We start from the raw sequence: 20688 nt of genomic DNA on the forward strand, positions 1-20688 counted from the left end.
AATTAATGGCACTTGGGAAGTTTTGCAGAGAAGGCGGCCACGGTCGGGCCCCGCCTTGCCTCCCCAAATAGGCCTCGCCGCCCCAGGTCAGGGATCAAAGCGGTTCCCAGGCGCGCCCTTGGCCCGCGGGAAACCACTGCCCGGTCTTGGTCCAGGCGGCCCGTCCTACGGTCCAGGGTTCCTATTTCCGAGCCTCAGGGACCTCCTTTCCCCACGGACCCCACGGCCACCGGGATCCCATTCTCCAGTTGCCCCATCGTCACCGCGGCCGCCGCCACCGCCGCCGCAGTGGCGTCCGCTCTGCGCATGCTCCGGGGCGTCAAGACGCGAGGCGTGCAGAAGGCGAAGCGTGCGCAGGCGCGGGGCCATCGCGGCCCGAGTGGGGCGGTGCATCGGACGCGCGTGCTTCCTCCGGGCCACGCCCACCCCCGTCCGCCCAGGGACGGGCGCGCACGCGCGCCGGGAGCGGAAGGGCGGGCTGGCGCGCGCACGAGGCCGGGCAGGCGGCGGAAGCTGGAGAGGCCGCCGCGGTGCTGAGGGGGAGGGGAGCCGGCGAGCGCGCGCGCAGCGGGGGCGCGGGTGGCGCGCGTGTGTGTGAAGGGGGGGCGGTGGCCGAGGCGGGCGGGCGCGCGCGCGAGGCTTCCCCTCGTTTGGCGGCGGCGGCGGCTTCTTTGTTTCGTGAAGAGAAGCGAGACGCCCATTCTGCCCCCGGCCCCGCGCGGAGGGGCGGGGGAGGCGCCGGGAAGTCGACGGCGCCGGCGGCTCCTGGTAAGGAACGCGGGCCGCGGGGGCAGCGCGGCGCGGGGCCGGGGAGGGCGGTTTGAATGGAGCCGGGGCGCCGAGGGGGGAGGGGGCTGCCGGCGCGCCCTGTGCGGGGCCGGGGTACGGCGGCGCCCGAGGGTCAAGAAGCCCAGCCGGCAGCCGCGCGCGTGGGGAAGGCCACAGTGTCGCGAGGCCGTGGCAGCGGCGGCCCCCGCGGAGCGGCGGGGTGGGTGGGGGGCCCGGGCCGCGTGGAGGCCGCGCGATCCTCTCCGCGCGCGCTCTCGCCGGGGTCGCCGGACAAAGCTCGCCCCCCTCGCCCGGCACCCCTACAGTCGCCCTCCCAATTACAGCGGCTGCAACAATAGGCAGGCGTTGGGGCTTTTCTGGCTGCGTGGTAACGGGTCCGACCCGAATGTTGCGTTTTTGGCGAAGCTGCGATCGGGGCTCAGCCAAACCTCCAGATATGTCCGGCGTCGGCCGGACACGGGCATTAGCGGTCCCCTTGGGCTAGCCGACCTCAAATTGTCTTAAAAACGTGTCATTCCAGATTTTCAAGGAAAGGTAAAGGACTCCCCCGATGCCTTGCAGTTAGTGACTTCAAAATGTTTGCCCGAATTGGGGTTGGGGATGGGGTCGGCGGCAAGTAGGGGAGCACGGAGGAAATCCTTTGCTGTGTAAAAGCATTGCTTTTCTTTTGCATCCTTTTTTCTCCTTCCCAATTGGTTTTTCAGATTAAGGCTTTTATTTTCAACGTGGACCTTTTGGGCGAGTGTTTTGTCCCGATCTTGAAGATACCAGTCTTGATTTTTTTTTTTTTTTTTTTTGGTCAGTGACTCCTTGGGGAAAGTAGCAAGGGAATAAGCGGAAAAGCCGCTTCGCAGGAATTTGAAGCAAGTTTTCAGTTTGGATTGATAGGCTGCATTCAAGCTTGATTCCTGGTGCTGTCAGTCACTTAGCACACTGTCACTTTAGGGAAGTGGCTTAACCTCTCTGAACCTCTTAGTTTTCCTCCTTTGTGAAAGCTCCTTTGTGAAAGGGGGTAATCTCCCAAATGGAATTGGTGAAAGCCTGTAAAATGGTTCCTCGCAAGCGGGAAGCACTATTGTAATTGTCTGGTCCAATCTCCCTCATTGTTCAGCAGATAACTTCTTGAGGCCCTACTAAGTGTTGGATGGTCGGGGGTTGGATCCTGGAGCCTCTGCAGTCTTGGAGGGGAGCGGGTGGTAAATGTGGGAACAAACTCTCTTGGCCTATCGTTTATTGCTCTGAACCTGCACTGTGAGAGGGACACAGCGGACAGGCAGGGGATCGGTGGTAGCCAGAGATCACGGGGGCTGCTTGGAAGAGGGGGCCTCAAAATCAGGGAGGGTGTGTAGGATTGTATTTTGTTTTTGAGGCAGAGTCTTGCCTGTCGCCCAGGCTGGAGTTCAGAGTCCCAATCTCCGCTCACTGTAACCTCCGCCTCCTGGGTTCAAGCGATTCTCCTGCCTCAGCCTCCTGAGTAGCTGGGACTACAGGCGCCCGCCACCACGCCTGGCTAATTTTTGTATTTTTAGTAGATATGGGGTTTTACCATGTTGGCCAGGCTGGTCTCAAACTCCTGACTTAAGGTGATCCACCCACCTCGGCCTCCCAAAGTGCTAGGACTACATGTGTGAGCCACTGCGCCAGGATTGTATTTTGACTTTCCCTGGCCACCTCGGACTAGCCATTGTTCCCCTCAGCTACATTCATACATCAACTTGGTCCTTTCCGGTGTAGCTGTCACCCCCAGCACCGTGAGAGCTGGGGTTGTGTCTGCCTGGCTGGCCCCACAGTACCCTGGGCCTGACACATAGTAGGTCTTTAGCGAACTTATGTGGATTGAATGAGGGGGTCCTGTGGAAGATCGCGTGACCATCTGTGTAAAAGGCTTGGTGCAGGGCCAGGTGCAGTGGCTCATACCTGAAATCCCAGCACTTGGGGAGGCTGAGGCGGGAAAATTGCTTGAACCCGGGAGTTTGAGACTAACCTGGGCAACATAGTGAGACCTCATCTCTACAAAAAATACAAAAATTAGCCGAGTGTGGTGGCATGCACCGGTGGTCCCAACTACTCAGGAGGCTGAGGTAGGAGGACTGCTTGAGCCAGAGAGGTGGAGGCTGCAGTGAGCCATTCTTGTGCCCCTGCATTCCAGCCTGTGCACCAGAGTAAGACTGTCTCAAAAAAAAAAAAAAAAAAAAAGAAAAAGAAAGCTTGGTGCAGGACTGGGGGTGGATTGTAAGGGATACAGGTTAGTTGTTTGAACAGTTTTTGCACTTTCCAAGCCATTGTTTCCTGAACCTCAGTTGTCCTCATCTCCCCTACAAAGTGTGGGGTGGTGGTTAGCGTGGGGTGGTGGTAAGGAGTACTCATTCTGGAATCAGACCTCCTGAATTCACACCCAGCTCTCTAAATCGTAGCTTAACCTCAAGCGAGGCGCTTAGCAGTAGGGCCCCCCACTTGTGAAACAGGTAGGACGAGGATGCCCGAAACTTCACAGGCTTCTTGTGAGGGTTGAATGAGGTCACATGGGAAGCCGCTAACACACTGCTGCACCTGATGCGTAGTGAACACTTGATTTTTTTTTTTTTTTTGAGACGGAGTCTCGCTCTGTCATCCGGGCTGGAGTGCAATGCCCCTGTAGTCCCAAGCTCCTTGAGAGGCTGGGGCAGGAGGTACAGGCTGCAGTGGACCATGATTGAGCCACTGCACTCCAGCCTGGGTGACGAAGCGAGACCCTGTCTAAAAAAAGGAATAAAAATTAATTCATGCATAGTTAGGAAAGTAATAAATGGTTTTGCATGGGCCACCTAAAATCATTTTGTGTCCAGCCCTTTAGGAGACGTAAATGTTGATCGTGCAGGCTTTTGAGCAGGGGAGGTGATGTCATCAGAATTGTGATATAGGGCAGTGCAGTGGTCTCTAAACTTCTTGTCAGTGAGGAGCATTCCAACATATGTGTATTTATTTACAATTTATTTGTGTACCTTTGCTTCTCCTTGGGAACCCTCAAAACACCAGGAGATAACCTTAGACCATTCCATGTTTTGGCTGTTTGTGGGAGGTGGGAGCATGGGAGGGACTAGGGTTTTGGGCAGATGTCTGGTGGAACTTTCTTTCTTTCTTTCTTTTTTTTTTGAGACGGAATCTTACTCTTGTTGCCCAGGCTGGAGTGCAATGGCACGATCTCGTCTCACTGCAACCTCTGCCTCCCGGGTTCAAGCGATTCTTCTGACTCAGCCTCCTGAGTAGCTGGGATCACAGGTGTGCACCACCACACCTGGCTAAGTTTTGTATTTTTAGTAGAGATGGGATTTCATCATGTTGGCCAAGCTGGTCTTGAACTCCTGACCTCAACTGATCCACCCACCTTGGCCCTTGGCCTCCCAAAGTACTGGGATTACAAGTATGAGCCACCGCGCCCGGCCTCTTTTTTTTTTTTTCTTATGAGACAGAGTCATTCTGTCGCCCAGGCTGGAGTGCAGTGGTGCGATCTTGACTCACTGCAACCTCCGCCTCCTGGTCTCAAGCGATTCTCATGCCTCAGCCTCTGGAGTGGATGGGACTAAGGACGTGCACCACCATGCCCAGCTAATTTTTGTATTTTAGTAGAGACCGGGTTTCACCATGTTGGCCAGAACTCCTGGTCTCGAACTCCTGGCCTCCTGTAATCTGCCCACCTCGGCCTCCCAAAGTGTTGGGATTATAGGCGTGAGCCACCGTGCCCAGCCAGTCTGGTGGAACTTTCTATCAGTAAGGAAACTGAGGCCTAGGGTTATTTTCTTTCCACAAGGGTTGTCAAGTCAACCACCTGGGTTTGACTCCTGGTTTTGTCTTTCCATCCCTCGGTCATCAAGGCTGCCATGGCACAGAAGGACCCATTCATGGTGCCTGTAGACAGAACACAATGTGAATAGTGCCCCCTGGAGTTGTGCAAGAAATGACCCAGCCACTCTTCCCCATTTATGTGGCGAACAAGCATGCATTGAGCGCCTGCCATGTGCCAGGCACTGCTGGGGAGCTGGGGATTCCATGGGGAACAGGCAGACAAGGGTCCTGTTCTTAGTAGCTCACACCCCACTCTTGACTTGCAAAGGGGGACAGTACTAGTACCCAGCTTGTAGGATTGCTGCAAGAGCTGAACAACCAGTGACAAATGCGAAGTGCTTAGAATGGTGCCTGGCACATAGTGCTAAACAGTTGTTAGTGCTCATCATTTATTAGGATTCCTGCAACAGCCTGGTGGGATGACACAGATAATATACTTTTTCCTCTAGTCATAAGTTCTGTATGTTTCAAAGTGGTAGCAAAGGAGTCAGCTCCTCCATTTTGTCCTTAATGGCTGCACATTGTTTAACAGCAGGGATGCATTCTGAGGAATGCGTTGTGAGATGATTTTGTGGTTGCGTGAAGATGATAGAGTGTGCTTACACACGTCTAGATGGTGGAGCCTAGTCCACATGTAGGCTCTGTGGTATAGCCTATTGTTCCCAGGCTATACACCTGTACAGCATGTCACTGTACCGATTATTGTAGGCAGTTGTGACCCGATAGTATTTGTGTATCTAAATATATCTAAACAGAAAACGTATGGGAAAAATACAGTATTATGATCTTTAAAAAATTTTTCTAATTAGACAATTCAAGGAGGAAGGTATAATCTTATGGGACTATTGTATATTTGGTCCATCATTGACCAAAATGTTATGTGGTGAAGAAAACCATGCTTTGAAATTTCACCATAAGGCATTGGAAAAGGGAGAGTGTGTTTAGTGGCATGGTTTTTTTTTTTTTTTTTTTTTTTTTTTTTGAGGTGAAGTTTCGCTCTTGTTGCCCAGGCTGGAGCACAATGATGCGGTCCTGGCTCACTGCAACATCCGACTGCAGAGTTCAAGCAATTCTCCTGCCTCAGCCTCCCGAGTAGCTGGGATTACAGGTGCCCGCCACCATGCCTGGCTAATTTTTTGTATATTTAGTAGAAACGGGGTTTCACCATGTTGACCAGGCTGGTCTTGAACTTCTGACCTCAGGTGACCCACCTGCCTCAGCCTCCCAAAGTGCTGGGATTACAGACGTGAGCTACCGCGCCCGGCCAGGTTTTTAAAAATATCAAATGTTCAGCCGAGTGTGGTGGCTCATGCCTGTAATTCCCACACTTTGGGAGGCCCAGCAGGGCAAATCACTTGATCCCAGGAATCCAAGACCAGCCTGGGCAGCATGGCGAAACCCCGTCTCTACAGAAAAGTTAAAAAATTAGCCAAGCATGGTGTTGCACACCTGTAGTCCCAGCTACTTGGGAGGTTGACGTGGGAGGATCAAGCCGAGGAGGTGGAGGCTGCAGTAAGCTGTGATCGCACCACTGCACTCCAACCTGGGTGACACAACAAGACCCTATCTTAAAAAAGCCGGGGGTTGGGCTGGGCGCGGTGGCTCATGCCTGTATTCCTAGCACTTTGGGAGCCGAGGCGGGCGGATCGCCTGAGCTCAGGAGTTCAAGACCAGCCTGGGCAACATTGTGAAACCCCGTCTCTACGAAAATACAAAAGAAATTAGCTGGGCATGGTGGTGTGCGCCTGTAGTCCTAGCTACTTGTGAGACTGAGGCAGGAGAATTGCTTGAACCCGGGAGGCCAAGGTTGCAGGGAGCCGAGATCGTGCCGCTGCACTCCAGCCTGGGCGACAGAGCAAGACTACGTCTCTACAAAAGAAAAAAAAAAAGCCGGGGGTTGGGAAGGATAACAGCTGCTGGAATACTGGGGGAAGGTATGAGAGGGAACAGGTCAGAATGAAGCCTGAGGCTGAATGGAGCTTCAGGTGCTGCCACCCTCATAGGTGTCAACCCTAAGGAGACATAGCGGACTCATTAGTATGCCCAGTGATTTCTTGATTGAAGTTTTCTGTTAACTGCATCCTAAGGACATTAATCATTAATTTTTCAGGGTGTGGGATTGATGGGCATGTGATTTGTGGCCTCAACTCTTCTTCATATATGGGAAAGGGCCTGGATGGAAGTGCCAGGTGTAGCTGGGTTTGTTGTTACAGGGCAGAGAGAAGGGACACATTGATTTCCCTCCAATTCCCTCAGGGAAGGGGGCTTTCTTGTTTTTATTTTATTTTATTTTATTTTATTTTTTGAAATGGAGTCTTGCTCTCTCTCTGTCGCCCAGGCTGGAGTGCAGTGGCACGATCTCAGCTCACTGCAAGCTCCCCCTTCCGGGTTCACGCCATTCTCCTGCCTCAGCCTCCTGAGTAGCTGGGACTACAGGCGCCCGCCACCACGCCCGGCTAATTTTTTGTATTTTTAGTAGAGACGGGGTTTCACCATGTTAGCCAGGATGGTCTTGATCTCCTGACCTCGTTATCCGTCTGCCTCAGCCTCCCAAACTGCTGGGATTACAGGCGTGAGCCACTGCGCCCGACTGGAAGGGGGCTTTCTTTAGAAAATAGGTAAATGTTAGTAGGGTGGAAACCAACCCTGGCCCCTTTCAAATGTGTGGTTTTTTTTTTTTTTTTTGGAGACAGTTGTACTCTTTTCTCCCAGGCTGGAGTGCAGCGGTGTGATCTCGGCTCACTGCAACCTCTGCCTTCCAGGTTCAAGCAATTCTCCTACCTCAGCCTCCTGAGTAGCTGGGATTACAGGCGTGCGCCACCATGCCCGGCTAATTTTGTATTTTTTTTTAATTTTTATTTATTTATTTATTTTTTTGAGACGGAGTCTTGCTTAGTTGCCCAGGCTGGAGTGCAATGGCACGATCTTGGCTCACTGCAATCTCCGCCTCCCGGGTTCATGCCATTCTCCTGCCTCAGCCTCCCGAGTAGCTGAGACTACAGGCGCCCACCACCATGCCCTGCGGGGGTTTCACCATGTTAGCCAGGATGGTCTTGATCTCCTGACCTCATGATCCGCCCGCCTCAGCCTCCCAAAGTGCTGGGATTACAGGCGTGAGCCACTGCGCCCGGCCAGTAATTTTGTATTTTTAGTAGAGACGGGGTTTCTCCGTGTTGGTCAGGCTGGTCTCAAACTTCTGACCTCAGGTGATCCGCCTGCCTTGGCCTTCCAAACTGCTGAGATTACAGGCATGAGCCACCACTCCTGGCCTCAAATGTTTTTTTAAGTCCCAGACTGGTTTCCAGAGCTTTGCTTTTGGGGACTCTGTTACCTCCCTAAAGGGGCATAGCTTCATTTATGTATGTGGACACTTGTCACTGTGAACCGTTTTGCTCTGTGTGCAGCCAGCTGTGAGTGTGATAGAGTAGCACGGGCCCCGTTTTTAATAGTGATCGACTTTAAAATGGTTCTTTGAGGAGGTGTTTTTTTTTTCTTTCCACTTTTTATTTTTTTAGAGACGGAGACTCGCTGTGTTACTTAGGCTGGTCTTTAACTCCTGGACTCAAGTGATCCTCCAGCCTCCACTTCCTGACTAGCTGTGATTACAGGCGTGATCCACTGTGCTAGCTCTTGGGAGTTTTTTAAGTTTTCTCTTTGCCACTGGCAAGTCACGCCCCAGTGGCTCAGGAAGCAGGTGGCTGATGTGACAGTTGCTGCTCACCTGTTCCAGTGGGAGACTTGAGGGGGAGGGTCTGCTGTGTGCGACCCATCTTGCTCCGAAAGTCCCAGTAAAGGGGCATAGTGGATGTCTCATTGTGCCCAGGGAGCTGAAACTGCCCCTGTGATGATCAAATGTGATTCTGGCACAGCCTGGACTGGCTGGGCACCTGAAGGCCTTGCCTGCCTCCTGGAGGCATCTCCTGGGTGCCTGTGGGAGTGGCTCTTTACTTGCCCTTCCTCTTGACTCTGCCCTTCCTCGACCTTCAAGGTTCTCATCCTATTCCTTTTGATCCTCGGCCTGAATCAGTTACTCAGGCCCTGGAGTCAAAGAGACTTGAGGCGGGATTCTGTTCTGCATGGCTTAACCTCTTTGAACTCAGAATTCCGTTTTCCTCTCAGAATCTCCCTGGCCTCCACCCTCTACCTCAAGAACCAGGGGCTGAACCCCGGCCCTGCCTGTCTTTGCCAAGCCTTGCTCTAGGGCTTGGTCAGCCTCGAGGAAGGGGGGCCTTGTTATGTTTATTTAAAAATTTATGTTTTAGGTTTTACTTTCTTAGAAGTGGAGGTCTTGATGTTATCTCCCAGGCTGGTCTTGAACCCCTTGGCTCAAAGGATCTGCCTACTTCAGCCTCCCAAAGTGCTGGGATTATGGGCGTGAGCCACCACGCCTGGCGCCTTTTTATATTTCTTTCTTTTTTTTTTCTTTTTTTGAGACAGAGTTTGTCTCTTGTTGCCCAGGCTGGAGTGCAATGGCGGGGTCTCGGCTCACTGAAACCTCCGCCTCCTGGGTTCAAGCGATTCTCCTGCCTCAGCCTCCCGAGTAGCTGGGATTACAGGCATGCACCACCACACCTGGCTAATTTTGTATTTTTAGTAGAGACGGGGTTTCTCCGTGTTGGTCAGGCTGGTCTCAAACTCCTGACCTCAGGTGATCCACCTGCCTCAGCCTCCCGAAGTGCTGGGATTACAGGCATGAGCCACTGCACCTGGCCCCCTTTTTATGTTTCTAACAGCACGTCCCAGCCGAGACCCTGGTGTTCACCCTTGCCTCATCTCTTGCCCTCACTTGCACATCCATTCCATCAGCATGTCCAGAGAAATTAAAGTCATTATCAGACCGTGCCACTCCCGTGCCTGGAACATTCTAGCAGCTCCCCACTGCACTGGATGCTCCTGGAACCCCTTTACTGTGGCCCTCAAGGCCTGTGACTTCTCCCCTATGCCCCACCTGTGGCCGCACCCACTTGCCCTCTGAGGTATGATATGGAATATATTTGGTCTTTGCGCCACATGTCATAGGAGTGATAGGTGTGTCTTTTAAAATTCATAATGAGCCCCTTTTGATCACAGCTGAGTTTATGCTTATGAGGTGATTTAGGATGGGGCTCCTAGATAGCCCAGGATGGGGCTGGTTACCAGAAAGACCAAGTGCTTAGAGGGTGGCATGTACGGAGGGGCCATTGAAGCTGTCTGTATTGCTTCCATCTGGTTGACCCCGAGTCGTATCCGTTATAATAAACCATTAATGGGAAGTGAAGTGCCTGCCTTAGTTCTGGGCGCTGCTTTAGCAAATCAATCAAATCGAGGAGGGGGTTGTGGGAATTCCCAATTTATAGGTGGCTGGGCAGAAGTACTGGACCCTGGGATGTGCAAATGGCATTTGTAGTGGGAGCAGTCTTATGGGACAGCTCTTTTTCTTTTAGAGACAGAGTGTCACTCTCACCCAGGCTGGAGTGCAGTGATACAGTCATAGCTCACTGCAGTGTCCAGCTCCTGGGCTCATGTCATGCTCCCGAGTAGCTGGGACTACAGGTGTGCACCACTGCCAGGCTTAGCTAATTTTTAAATTTTTTGTAGAGACAGGGTGCTATACTTCCTAGGCTGGTTTCAAACTCTTGGCCTCAAGCAGTCCTCCCACTTTGGCCTCCCAAAGCACTGTGCTTAGGTGAGCCCACTGCATCTGGCCGATAAAGTCCTTAACTTGTGGGAGATAGAGTCTGAATTGAGTTAAATTGTAGGACACCCAGCTGGTGTTTGGAGACTTGGAGAATTACTTGGAAAAGACCCACGCATCTGGTCACAGAATTGTTCTCGGTTATGAGAGTATAGTAGAAGAAAACTGGTTTTCTCTGAGTTGGTGTCAAAAGTGCTGTGTGAGAGTGTAGAGAAACGGAGTGTGGGCCAGGCACGGTGGCTCACGCCTGTAATCCCAGCATTTTGGGAGGCTGAGGCGGGTGGATCACCTGAGGTCGGGAGTTTGAGACCATCCTGACCAACATGGAGAAACCTAGTCTACTAAAAATACAAAATTAGCTGGGCGTGGTGGCGCGTGCCTGTAATCCCAGCTACTTGAGAGGCTGAGGCAGGAGAATCACTTGAACCCAGGAGGCAGAGGTTGCAGTGAGCTGAGATCGCACCATTGCACTCTAGCCTGGGCAACAAGAGTGAAACTTCATCTCAAAGAAAAAAAAAAGAAACAGAGTGTGTTTTCCCACCTTCCCTGCTCCAGCCACACTGGCTGACTTGCTGTGCCTTGGAATATGCCAAGCACAGTCCAGGGCCTTTGCACTTGCTGTTCCTCTGTGGTAGATAAATAACCACATGGTGCCCATGTCACTACAGATCTCTGCTCAGACATCTTCATCACTGAGGTGTCCCAGGCTACCATAGAAGGAGTGCTTCTCATCTGTTAACCCTGCGAACCCTGCTTGATTAGATTTATAGCACTTCCACCCTCTATGTGACATTGTGTCTTTTTTTTTTTTTTTTCTCTTTGAGACAAGGTCTTGGTCTGTCACCCAGCGGGGAGTACAGTGGTGCAATCATAGCTCATGGCAGTCTGGACCCTCCCACCTTGGCTTCCCAAGTAGCTGGGACTACAGCCGCATGCCAGCTAATTTTTGTATTTTTCGTAGAGACGAGGTTTCACCGTGTTGCCCAGGCTGGCCTCAAATTCCTGGCCTCAAGTGATCGACCTGCCTCAACCTCCCAAAGTGCTGGAATTACAGGCGTGAGCCACCATGCCCACCCTGAATACTTTTTTTTTTTTTTTTTGGAGGGGGGAGATGGAGTTTTGTTCTTGTCGCCCAGGCTGGAGTGCAATGGTGCGATCTTGGCTCACTCCAACCTCCGCCTCCCGGGTTCAAGCGATTTCAATTTTCCTGCCTCAGCCTCCTGAGTAGCTGGGATTACAGGCGTGCACCACCACGCTTGGCTAATTTTTTTTTTTTTTTTTTGAGACGGAGTCTCGCTCTGTCACCCAGGCTTGAGTGCAGTGGCACAGTCTCAGCTCACTGCAACCTCCGCCTCCTGGGTTCAAGCGATTCTCCTGTCCCAGCCCCCACACCGAGTAGCTGGGATTACGGGCGCCTGCCACCATGCCGGCTAATTTTTGTATTTTTAGTAGAGATGAGTTTTAACCATGTTGGCCAGGCTGGTCTCAAACTCCTGACCTCAAGTTATCCACTCGTCTTGGCCTCCCAAAGTGTTGGAATTACAGGCATGAGCCACCAAGCCTGGTCCTAATTTTTTTATTATTAGTAGAGATGGGGTTTCACCATGTTGGTCAGGCTGGTCTCGAACCCCTGACCTCAGGTGATCCACCTGCCTCGGCCTCCCAAAGTGTTGGGATTACAGGCATGAGCCACCACGTCCGGCCCTGAATACTTTTTTTTTTTTTTAATATAACACTTCCACTTTCTATGTGACATTGTGTCATGTTTGGCTATTTCTGTCACTCTGCTGTCCACTCCTCCAGGTAGGAATTGTGTTGTTCTCTGCCAGATGCCTGGTGTTTGGAACCAGCTTGGTGCATTCAGCGCTGTTCGTATTTGGGGGTAGTCATCAGTAAGTCCTCTGCTGTGGCGGTGGGGAAGGCCTGTCACGAGTGACACTGGGCAGGTATGGATTCTGCATCTCCCTGCCCACTCTTGGCCTTTGCATGCCTCTGTTGTGGGGACTCCTCTTGCCGTCTCCACACAGTGTCACTCCTCACGCTCAGTGTTGCGTATATAGCTGATAACACAGCAGACCCGGTGGTGGCGCAGGACATCCATCCAGTGGGCCTCGGCCAGCCGAAAAGAAAGAATAGGGGCCGGGCACAGTGGCTCACGCCTGTAATCCCAGCACTTTGGGAGGCCAAAGTGGACGGATCATCGGCTCAGGAGTTTGAGACTAGCCTGGCCAACATAGTGAAACCCCATCTCTACAAAAAATACGAAAATTAGCTGGGCATGGCGGTGTGCGCCTGTAGTTCCAGCTACTTGGGAGGCCGGGGCAGGAGAATTGCTTGAACCCGGGAGGCCGAGGTTGCGGTGAGCTGAGATTGTGCCACTGCACTCCAGCCTGGGTGACAGAGCCAGAGTCCATCTACAAAAAAAAAAAAAAAGAATGGGGTTATTGATGTTCCACAGGGAGCGTGGGTCAGGATGGATTTGTGACACTTGATGCGGTTACTCTGCGTGTTATGTTTCTGCTGGGTCACATTGTCACATGGAGACATGATCAGAAGAGCTTGAAAAACATCCATCTAATTGATAGCTAGGATAGCATTTGCAGGCTTGCAGTGTAGACACCACACGTCCCTGTGGGGTTAGAGGACACTCCCCTAAGGCAGAGAACCGTCCTGGATGCTTTTAGGTCCCTTGGGTAGGTGCTCTTAAGCGGTTTTCTTTTTTTTTTTTTGAGACGGAGTCTCGCTGTCACCCAGGCTAGAGTGCAGTGATGCAATCTTGGCTCACTGCAAGCTCCGCCTACCAGGTTTACACCATTCTCCTGCCTTAGCCTCCCGAGTAGCTGGGACTACAGGCCCCCGCCACCACGCCCAGCTAATTTTTTTTTTTTTTTTTTTTGAGACAGAGTCTTGCTCTGTCACCCAGGCTGGAGTGCAGTGGCATGATCTTGGCTCACTGCAAGCTCCGCCTCCCGGGTTCACACCATTCTCCTGCCTCAGCCTCCCGAGTAGCTGGGACTACAGGCGCCTGCCACCACGCCCGGCTAATTTTTTGTATTTTTAGTAGAGACGGGGTTTCACCGTGTTAGCCAGGATGGTCTCGATCTCCTGACCCTCGTGATCCACCCGCCTTGGCCTCCCAAAGTGCTGGGATTACAGGCGTGAGCCACCGCGCCCGGCCTGGAGGTTTTCTTATAGACCACCGAGGGGAACATTTTGTTTTGTAGTTCACGCATAGTAAACGGGGCTGGCTCTGCGGAAGCCATCCTGCCCATTGCTGTTGTTCCGCCCAAGCCTCTGCCATAACCTGACTCCCACGTTGGTCTGCTGCTGAAATGTGTCCGTGAACAAATTTCCCCAAGCCCCAAAAAACACAATAGCAGATATCCTGGGACCAAACTTAAATATAATGCTAGTTTCTCATGCAAGGTGAAAACAACCACCATAATTCCAACAAACAGATTTCCAAGGGATCCGATTGCTGGTTAGCAACCTGCCCTGCCTGGGGCTGGTCACCGCAGTGCTTTAAGACAAAAGCTAGGGGTGGCGTGAAAGAAGAGACCAGACCTCTTCTCTTCCTCAAGCAGTCTCCTTCCACATTTGAACGTCAACAGATGTTTCTATTTTAGATGATAATTTTGATGAAGTTGAAAATAATGAGAACATGGTAGTTCTCACATCCTTTGATCTTTCTCTTTTATTTCCACAAAGACACTTCCTGGGCATTTCTTGTGGGTATTTATTTCATGGGTATTCTGATTTAGGCTTTTTTTTTTTTTCTTGGAAGTTTTTCTTTAAAAATCTGAATATAAAAAGTAATAGATGGCTATTGTAAAAAATAAATAAAAAGCGCCAGACATCTGTGATATGGAAAGGGTAAGTTCCTCATCACATGCCATCAGAGAGAGCTACTGGCTGTGCTGACAGCGGTTTGTGCATGTTTTCTTTGGGGTAATTTCTATGCATGGATTAACATGCATATATATATATATATATATATATTTTTTTTTTTTTTTTTTTTTTTTTTTTTTTTTTTGAGACAGAGTCTTGCTCTATTGCCTGGGCTAGAGAGCTGTGGTGCGATCTTGGCTCACCGCAACCTCTGGCTGCTGGGTTCAAGTGATTCTCCTGCCTCTGCCTCCCAAGTAGCTGTGATTACAGGTGCCCACCACCACGCCTAGCTAACTTTTGTGTTTTTGTAGAGATGGGGTTTCACCACGTTTGCCAGGCTGGTCTCGATCTCAGGTGATCCGCTCGCCTCAGCTTCCGACAGTGCTGGGATTACAGCTGTGAGACACCATGCCCAGCCATATGCATATATAGTTATTCTTTTTTTTTTTTTTTTTTTTTTGAGACAGGGTCTCTGTCGCTCAGGATGGAGTGCAGTGGCGTGATCTTGGCTCACTGCAACCTCCGTTTCCTGGTTCAAGTGATTATCGTGCCTCAGCCTCCTGAGTAGCTGGGACTACAGGCATGCACCATTACCCCTGGCTGACTTTTGTATTTTTACTAGAGATGGGATTCTGCTATGTTGGCCAGGCTGGTCCCGAACTCTTGGCCTCAGGTGATCTGCCTTCCTTGGCCTCCAAAGTGCTGGGATTATAGGCATTAACACCATATCCAACCTTACTTTTTTTTTTTTTTTTTTGAGTGTTTCTCTGTTGCCAGGCTGGAGTGCAGTGGCGCGATCTTGGCTCACTGCAACCTCCACCTCCCGGGTTCAAGCGATTCTCTTGCCTCAGCTTCCCGAATAGCTGGGACTACAGGCCAGCTCCACCACGCCCAGCTAATTTTTGTATTTTAGTAGAGATAGGGTTTCACCATGTTGGCCAGGGTGGTCTCAAACTCCTGACCTTGTGATCCGCCCACCTTGGCCTCGCAAAGTGCTGGAATTGTAGGCGTGAGCCACCACGCCCAGCCTCTCAATTCTTTTTTGATGTGCCAAGACTTCTGCAGCGTGGGTTGTGTGGGGGTTCTGATTGCTGGGCAATTGAGGAGCTTCTCAAGAAATTGAGGCAATATGGCCACACCACTTCTAGACCCTTTGGCCCAGGGAAAGGGTTAACCTCCTGGACTTTTAACTGAGTGTTTTACATCTTAGCTTTTAGATTCTTGTGCCAGAGTAGTTTCACTTCCGGTCATTCCTTCTGGCTGCTGGCCTGGATTCCCAGGCTCTGTTTTCTCCTTGTGGAGGCCCCGGCAGCACCCGATCCAAGGGCCGCACACATCTGGATTTGGCTTCCACACGCTGTACTAACTATTCTTGCCCTTTTGGCCCCTGAATCCCCTCATCCTTTGCTTTTTCCACCTGAGTAGGTGTGGCCTCCTGGTCTGCAATGGATTTCATTGCTGCGTGAATTTCCCCTGCTAGTGACTTATCATTGAGGGCCCCATTGCAGGACTCTAAGCGGCACCGTGTAAGACACCTTAGGGACGACCTTTGGCCACCCCAGGACTTTGCTGAAAATGCCAAATCCTTCGTTTCCTGTATAGAAGGGCAGGGATGATTGGCGATGGGGTAAGAAGGGGTAGAGAGAGAGGTGTTCCTTGTCCTTAGACACCTTTCCTGGCCGTGCTCGTTTGGCCTTCCCGTGTAGACATCTCGCCGGAGCAAGGTGCACCCAGCCCCACACCCCATCCAGCTTCTACAGGGCTGGCCTCACCCCAGCCCTTCAGGGAGGGTGAGCTGGCCAGGAGGAGGTTGAGGGCTGAGAACAACACCATGCTTATGGCTGTGGGAGCAAGGAGGGATAAGAGATGTTTGTGGGTCAGGCACTGTGGCTTGGGCTAGGTGCGGTGGCTCATGCCTGTAGTCCTAGCACTTTCGGAGGTTGAGGTGGGCGGATCACTTGAGCCCAGGTGTTTGAGACCAGCCTGGGCAACACGGCGAGACCTCATTTCTATAAAGAAATACAAAAATTAGCTGGGCATAGTGGCATGAGCCTGTAGTCCCAGCTACTCGGGAAGTTGAGATGGGAGGATCACTTGAGCCCAGAAGTTCAAGGCTGTGAGCTGTGATGGCGCCACTGCATTCCAGCCTGGGAGACAGAGCGAGACCCTGTCTCAAAAAAAAAAAAAAAATTGGGCCGGGCGTGGTGCCTCTCATCTGTAATCCTAGCACTTTGGGAGGCCGAGGCAGGCGGATTGCCTGAGCTCAGGAGTTTGAGACCAGCCTGGGCAACATGGCAAAAACCCTGTCTCTACTAAAATACAAAAAAATTAGCCAGGTTCGGCAGTGTGCGCCTGTAGTCCCAGCTACTCGGGAGGCTGAGGCAGGAGAATCGCTTGAACCTAGGAGGCGGAGGTTGCAGTGAGCCAAGGTCGCACCACTGCGCTAAGCCTGGGTGACAGAGCGAGACTCTGTCTCCAAAACAAATAAATAAACAAATAACAAGAACAAAATTCTTGGCAGCCGGCCAAATCTGTGTGCATTGCTTGCCAGGGTGGGCGTGTCATGGCTGACAGCAGGTCCTGGATCGCACCTAGGGGTTTGCTGCTCTCCAGCCAGCTGCTTCTACCTGATGCGCGCCCAAGAGGGGAAGCCAGTCTGTTGTTCCTGAGCATTGCGGGGCAGGAGTGTTACCTGCGGTTTGTGCTGGGGGGAGGCTGCGTTACGGACTCGAGTTTTTTTTTGTTTTGTTTTTGTTTTTTTTGAGATGAACTCTTGCTCTGTTGCCCAGGCTGGAGTGCAGTGGTGTGATCTCGGCTCACTGCAGCCTCTGCCTCTCGGGTTCAATCAATTCTCCTGCCCCAGCCTCCCGAGTAGCTGGCATTACAGGCATGCACCACCATACCCAGCTACTTTTTGTTTTTTAAGTAGATACGGGGTTTCACCAAGTCGGCCAGGCTGGTGTTGAACTTCTCACCTCAAGTGACCCGCCCGCCTCGGCCTCCCAAAGTGCTGGGATTACAGGCATGGGCCACCATGCCCAGCCCATGACTCAGTTTTCTCATTTCTGTTCAGGGAAAGGAGCCTCTGCTTCACATTTTGATGGGAGCATCTGAGGACCTCATCTGTGTGATGCTCCTAGTGCGATACCTTTCACGTGCTAAGCAGCTGCTCAGTAAACCTGGGGAGAGATGGGGCACCTTGGTTTCACCAGCTGAGCGGCTGGCACTTCCTGCCTGTGAGTGATGGTTCGATGTTCCAGCCTGTGGAGGAGGAGGTGGAGCCACAGGGAGGTTACCCGTGAGGCAGGTGGCACCGTGGCTTCACAGTCCATGTTCAGAGTGTGGGATGCATGGCAGTGAGTTCCACTGTGGCCTTGGCCTTGTGACCTGAACTCTTCCACTTCCCTGTCATCTGTCAGCTGGCCAGCAGGACCACTGTAGTCCCTGTGTGGTGGTGAGGGCCCAGTGCGGGGAGTCTCAGTTGTTACCATCAAGTAGGCTGAGGCCCCTACCTCCTGGCTAGATCTTCCTTCCTTGCCATTTCTTTGTGACTGAGACATCCTCAGCAGTTGTAAATCACAGGGAGGTGAAGGCAAGCCACAGTCCCCGCTGGATTTGCAAATATCCCTTCCCTTCCTCTGTCAGCATGACCTTACGGTAGACGAGGATTTCTTAAATAGGACCCCAGAAATGTTAAACCTCAAAGACCAAACTTGATGAACTGGCCTTCATTAGAATTAAGAGCTTCTCTCTCTTTTTTTCTGTTTGTTGAGATGGAGGTTTACTCTTATTGCCCAGGCTGGAGTGCAATGATGTAATCTCGGCTTCACTGCAACTTCCACCTACCGGGTTCAAGTGATTCTCCTGCCTCAGCCTCCTAAGTAGCTGGGATTATAGGCATGCACCCACCACGCCTGGCTAATTTTTGTATTTTTAGTAGAGACGGGTTTTACCATTTTGGTCAGGCTGGTCTCGAACTCCTGACCTCTGCTTGCCTCGGCCTCCCAAAGTGCTGGGATTACAGGTATGAGCCATCACGCCCGGCCGATACTTTCTACTTTTTAAAAGTGGATACCGGCCACATATGTGGTGGCTCGTGCCTGTAATCCCAGCACTTCTGGAGGCTGATGCAGGTGGATCAGGAGTTCAAGACCAGCCTGGCCAACATGGCGAAACCCCGTCTCTACTAAAAATACAAAAAATATATATATATATATATTTTAGCCAGGTATAGTGGTGCGTGCCTGTAATCCCAGCTACTCGGGAAGCTGAGGCACGATAATCGCTTGAACCTAGGAGGCGGAGGTTGCAGTGAGCCGAGATCACGCCACTGCACTCCAGCTTGGGTGATGGAGCAAGACTCTGTCTCTAAATAAATAAATAAATAGATAGATAGATATCTCAATAGCCAGTAAGCATACAGAAAGGTGCTCCGTGCCATTAGTTGTGAGGGACATGCAAATGAAGACCATAAGAAGATGCGATTGGACATTGGCAACATTGTTAAAAGTTGTAAGGACTGACAGCAGCAAGTGTTGGGGTTGATGAAGAGCACCTGGAATGCTGTCCCTGTGTGGGAGGTGGGACCGTGTGTGTAGATGATACAACTATTTTGGAAAACTAGCAAAGCTAAGTTTATGCCTCCCTTTATAACCACCAGTTTCATTCTTGGACACCCAAGAAGAACCAATGCATGTGTTCACCAAATGACTCTCATAGCAGCTTGATTTGTGCTGGCCAGAACCTGGTAGAGTACAATGTCTATGAAAATGAGAATGCTCACATAAAAAGAACGGATGACTCTCCCAGACATGGTGACCCTGTGTGATTGTCTTTTTTTTTTTTTTTTGAGACAGGGTCTTTCTCTGTTGCCCACGATCATGGCTCACTGCAGCCTTGACCTCCTGGGCTCAAACAGTTCTCCCTACTCAGCCTCCTGAGTATAAGCTAATTTAAAAAAAAAAACTTGTAGAGACAGGGTCTTGCTATGTTGCCTAGGCTGGTCTTGAATTCCTGGACTCAAGCGATCCTTCTGCCTTGGCCTCCCAAAGTGCTGGGATTATAGGTATGACCCACTGCCCCCAACATTATATTATTTATATGTTACATATATTATATGTTATAAGTATATATTGTATATTATATAATATATGTATTATAGACGTGACCCACCACACCCGTCATTTTATTGGAAGTTCAATAACAGGTGAAAGGAAGCCACAGTGATAGTCAAAATAGTGGTTTCCCTGGGAGAGTGGTATTGACTGGGGGGGCCCAAGAATGCCTTCTGGAACGTCAGGAGGGATGTCTGACGCAGTGTTCTTCAAGCTGTTCACCTATGATCCTGCGATCAGGGCATGTACAAGTCAGTGAGAGTAAGCAGAATCACACGCTGCTCCCCTCAGTACTGAGCTGAGGACGTGGAGTCGCTCCACGGCTCTCCACTTTGTGCTGCAAGTCGGCCAGTGCTTGTTCAAGTGCAGGCACCAGCAACCTCATCACAGGCTTTGGCACTGGGCGATACTGCTGGGGATGGCTTTGCATCACTCCCGGGCTGTTGGGATCCCCTTTACTGTCACTCTGCACGTGTCTGAGCTTTCAATCCGGAAATGAATTTGCGGATGCTGGTGGCACCCGCGTTCCTGTTTCACTGCAGCCTGACTCTAGAGGCAGCATTTTCAGGAGGAGAGGCCATTCTAACAAGCCTCTGTGAAACCCCGTGCTTCTAAAAAGCAGACTTGCCTTATTCGGGCACAAAATGGTTTTTTGGGGCAGCATCTTCAGTGTACTCTGTTTTTCCGTTGACAAAGTTAGCGCTGCTTTGAGTTGGAGCCGTTCCTGGAGGCTGTGACGGCATCGCATGATTTGATGGAAGGGAGAGGGGAGAAGTTCTAATGCTCAGTGTAAAGTACGATTAGGTGGCATACGCCTGTAGTCCCAGCTACTCGGGAGGCTGAGGCATGAGAATCGCTTGAACCCCGGGGACGGAGGTTGCAGTGAGCAGAGATCATGTCACTGCACTCCAGCCTGGGCGACAGAGTGAGACTCTGTCTCAAAAAAAAAAAAATGTACAATGAGGAGAGCTATAATTTCAGTCACTTCCCAGTGTATGCTCGTTGGCTTGTCCACCTTCAGAGAGGGAAAAGATGGTTTGCCCTCAATGACCTGGATCTTTTTCTCTTTTTCCTCTGAGACAGCGTCTCGCCCTTTTGCCCAGGCTAGAGTGCAGTGGTGCGGTCATGGTTCACTGCAGCCTCAACCTCCTGGACTCAGGTAACCCTCCCACCTCAGCCTCCCAAGTAGCTGGGGCTACAGGCATGTGTCACCAAGCATGGCTAATTTTTGTATTTTTTGTAGAGATGAGGTTTTGCCATGTTGCCCAGGCTGATCTTGAATTTCTGGGTTCAGGCCATCCCCCTGCCTTGGCCTCCCAAAGTGCTGGGATTACAGGCGTGCTGGATTGTATTTTGCTGTCAGTTTCAGTTTATTTGACTTAGAATAAAGACCTTCAAGTG

General features: G+C 51.3%; 1 protein-coding gene across 22 annotated transcripts in view, besides 6 other annotated features; it reads left to right on the forward strand.

Moving 5' to 3' along the window:
* Positions 352 to 771: a silencer, noted in NCBI's record as "silent region_10097". NCBI's record gives its function as "represses an Ori minimal core promoter by ATAC-STARR-seq in GM12878 lymphoblastoid cells {active_cell/tissue: GM12878}" and the evidence as "EXISTENCE:reporter gene assay evidence [ECO:0000049][PMID:35858748]".
* Positions 624 to 20688, forward strand: part of SMARCA4 (SWI/SNF related BAF chromatin remodeling complex subunit ATPase 4) — a 101244-nt gene continuing 81179 nt past the window's right edge. For 13 of the 22 annotated variants that reach the window (NR_164683.1, NM_001128849.3, NM_003072.5 and 10 more), the window contains exon 1: positions 624 to 768. The gene's annotated coding sequence lies outside the window, so the exon portion shown is untranslated. Of the gene's footprint in view, positions 769 to 903; positions 1324 to 20370; positions 20447 to 20688 lie in introns of those variants that run through there. The other 9 variants (XM_011528198.2, NM_001128844.3, XM_047439249.1 and 6 more) reach the window with 2 other exon arrangements.
* Positions 822 to 881: a silencer, noted in NCBI's record as "silent region_10098". NCBI's record gives its function as "represses an Ori minimal core promoter by ATAC-STARR-seq in GM12878 lymphoblastoid cells {active_cell/tissue: GM12878}" and the evidence as "EXISTENCE:reporter gene assay evidence [ECO:0000049][PMID:35858748]".
* Positions 932 to 991: a silencer, noted in NCBI's record as "silent region_10099". NCBI's record gives its function as "represses an Ori minimal core promoter by ATAC-STARR-seq in GM12878 lymphoblastoid cells {active_cell/tissue: GM12878}" and the evidence as "EXISTENCE:reporter gene assay evidence [ECO:0000049][PMID:35858748]".
* Positions 3509 to 3638: an enhancer, noted in NCBI's record as "active region_14000". NCBI's record gives its function as "activates an Ori minimal core promoter by ATAC-STARR-seq in GM12878 lymphoblastoid cells {active_cell/tissue: GM12878}" and the evidence as "EXISTENCE:reporter gene assay evidence [ECO:0000049][PMID:35858748]".
* Positions 12883 to 12932: an enhancer, noted in NCBI's record as "active region_14001". NCBI's record gives its function as "activates an Ori minimal core promoter by ATAC-STARR-seq in GM12878 lymphoblastoid cells {active_cell/tissue: GM12878}" and the evidence as "EXISTENCE:reporter gene assay evidence [ECO:0000049][PMID:35858748]".
* Positions 16740 to 17432: an enhancer, noted in NCBI's record as "H3K4me1 hESC enhancer chr19:11087822-11088514 (GRCh37/hg19 assembly coordinates)". NCBI's record gives its function as "activates a minimal SCP1, AML or CMV promoter by ChIP-STARR-seq in primed H9 embryonic stem cells {active_cell/tissue: H9 hESC(primed)}" and the evidence as "EXISTENCE:reporter gene assay evidence [ECO:0000049][PMID:30033119]".

The sequence above is a fragment of the Homo sapiens genome, chromosome 19 (genome assembly GCF_000001405.40).
Source record: "Homo sapiens chromosome 19, GRCh38.p14 Primary Assembly".
NCBI classification, from domain to species: Eukaryota; Metazoa; Chordata; class Mammalia; order Primates; family Hominidae; genus Homo; species Homo sapiens.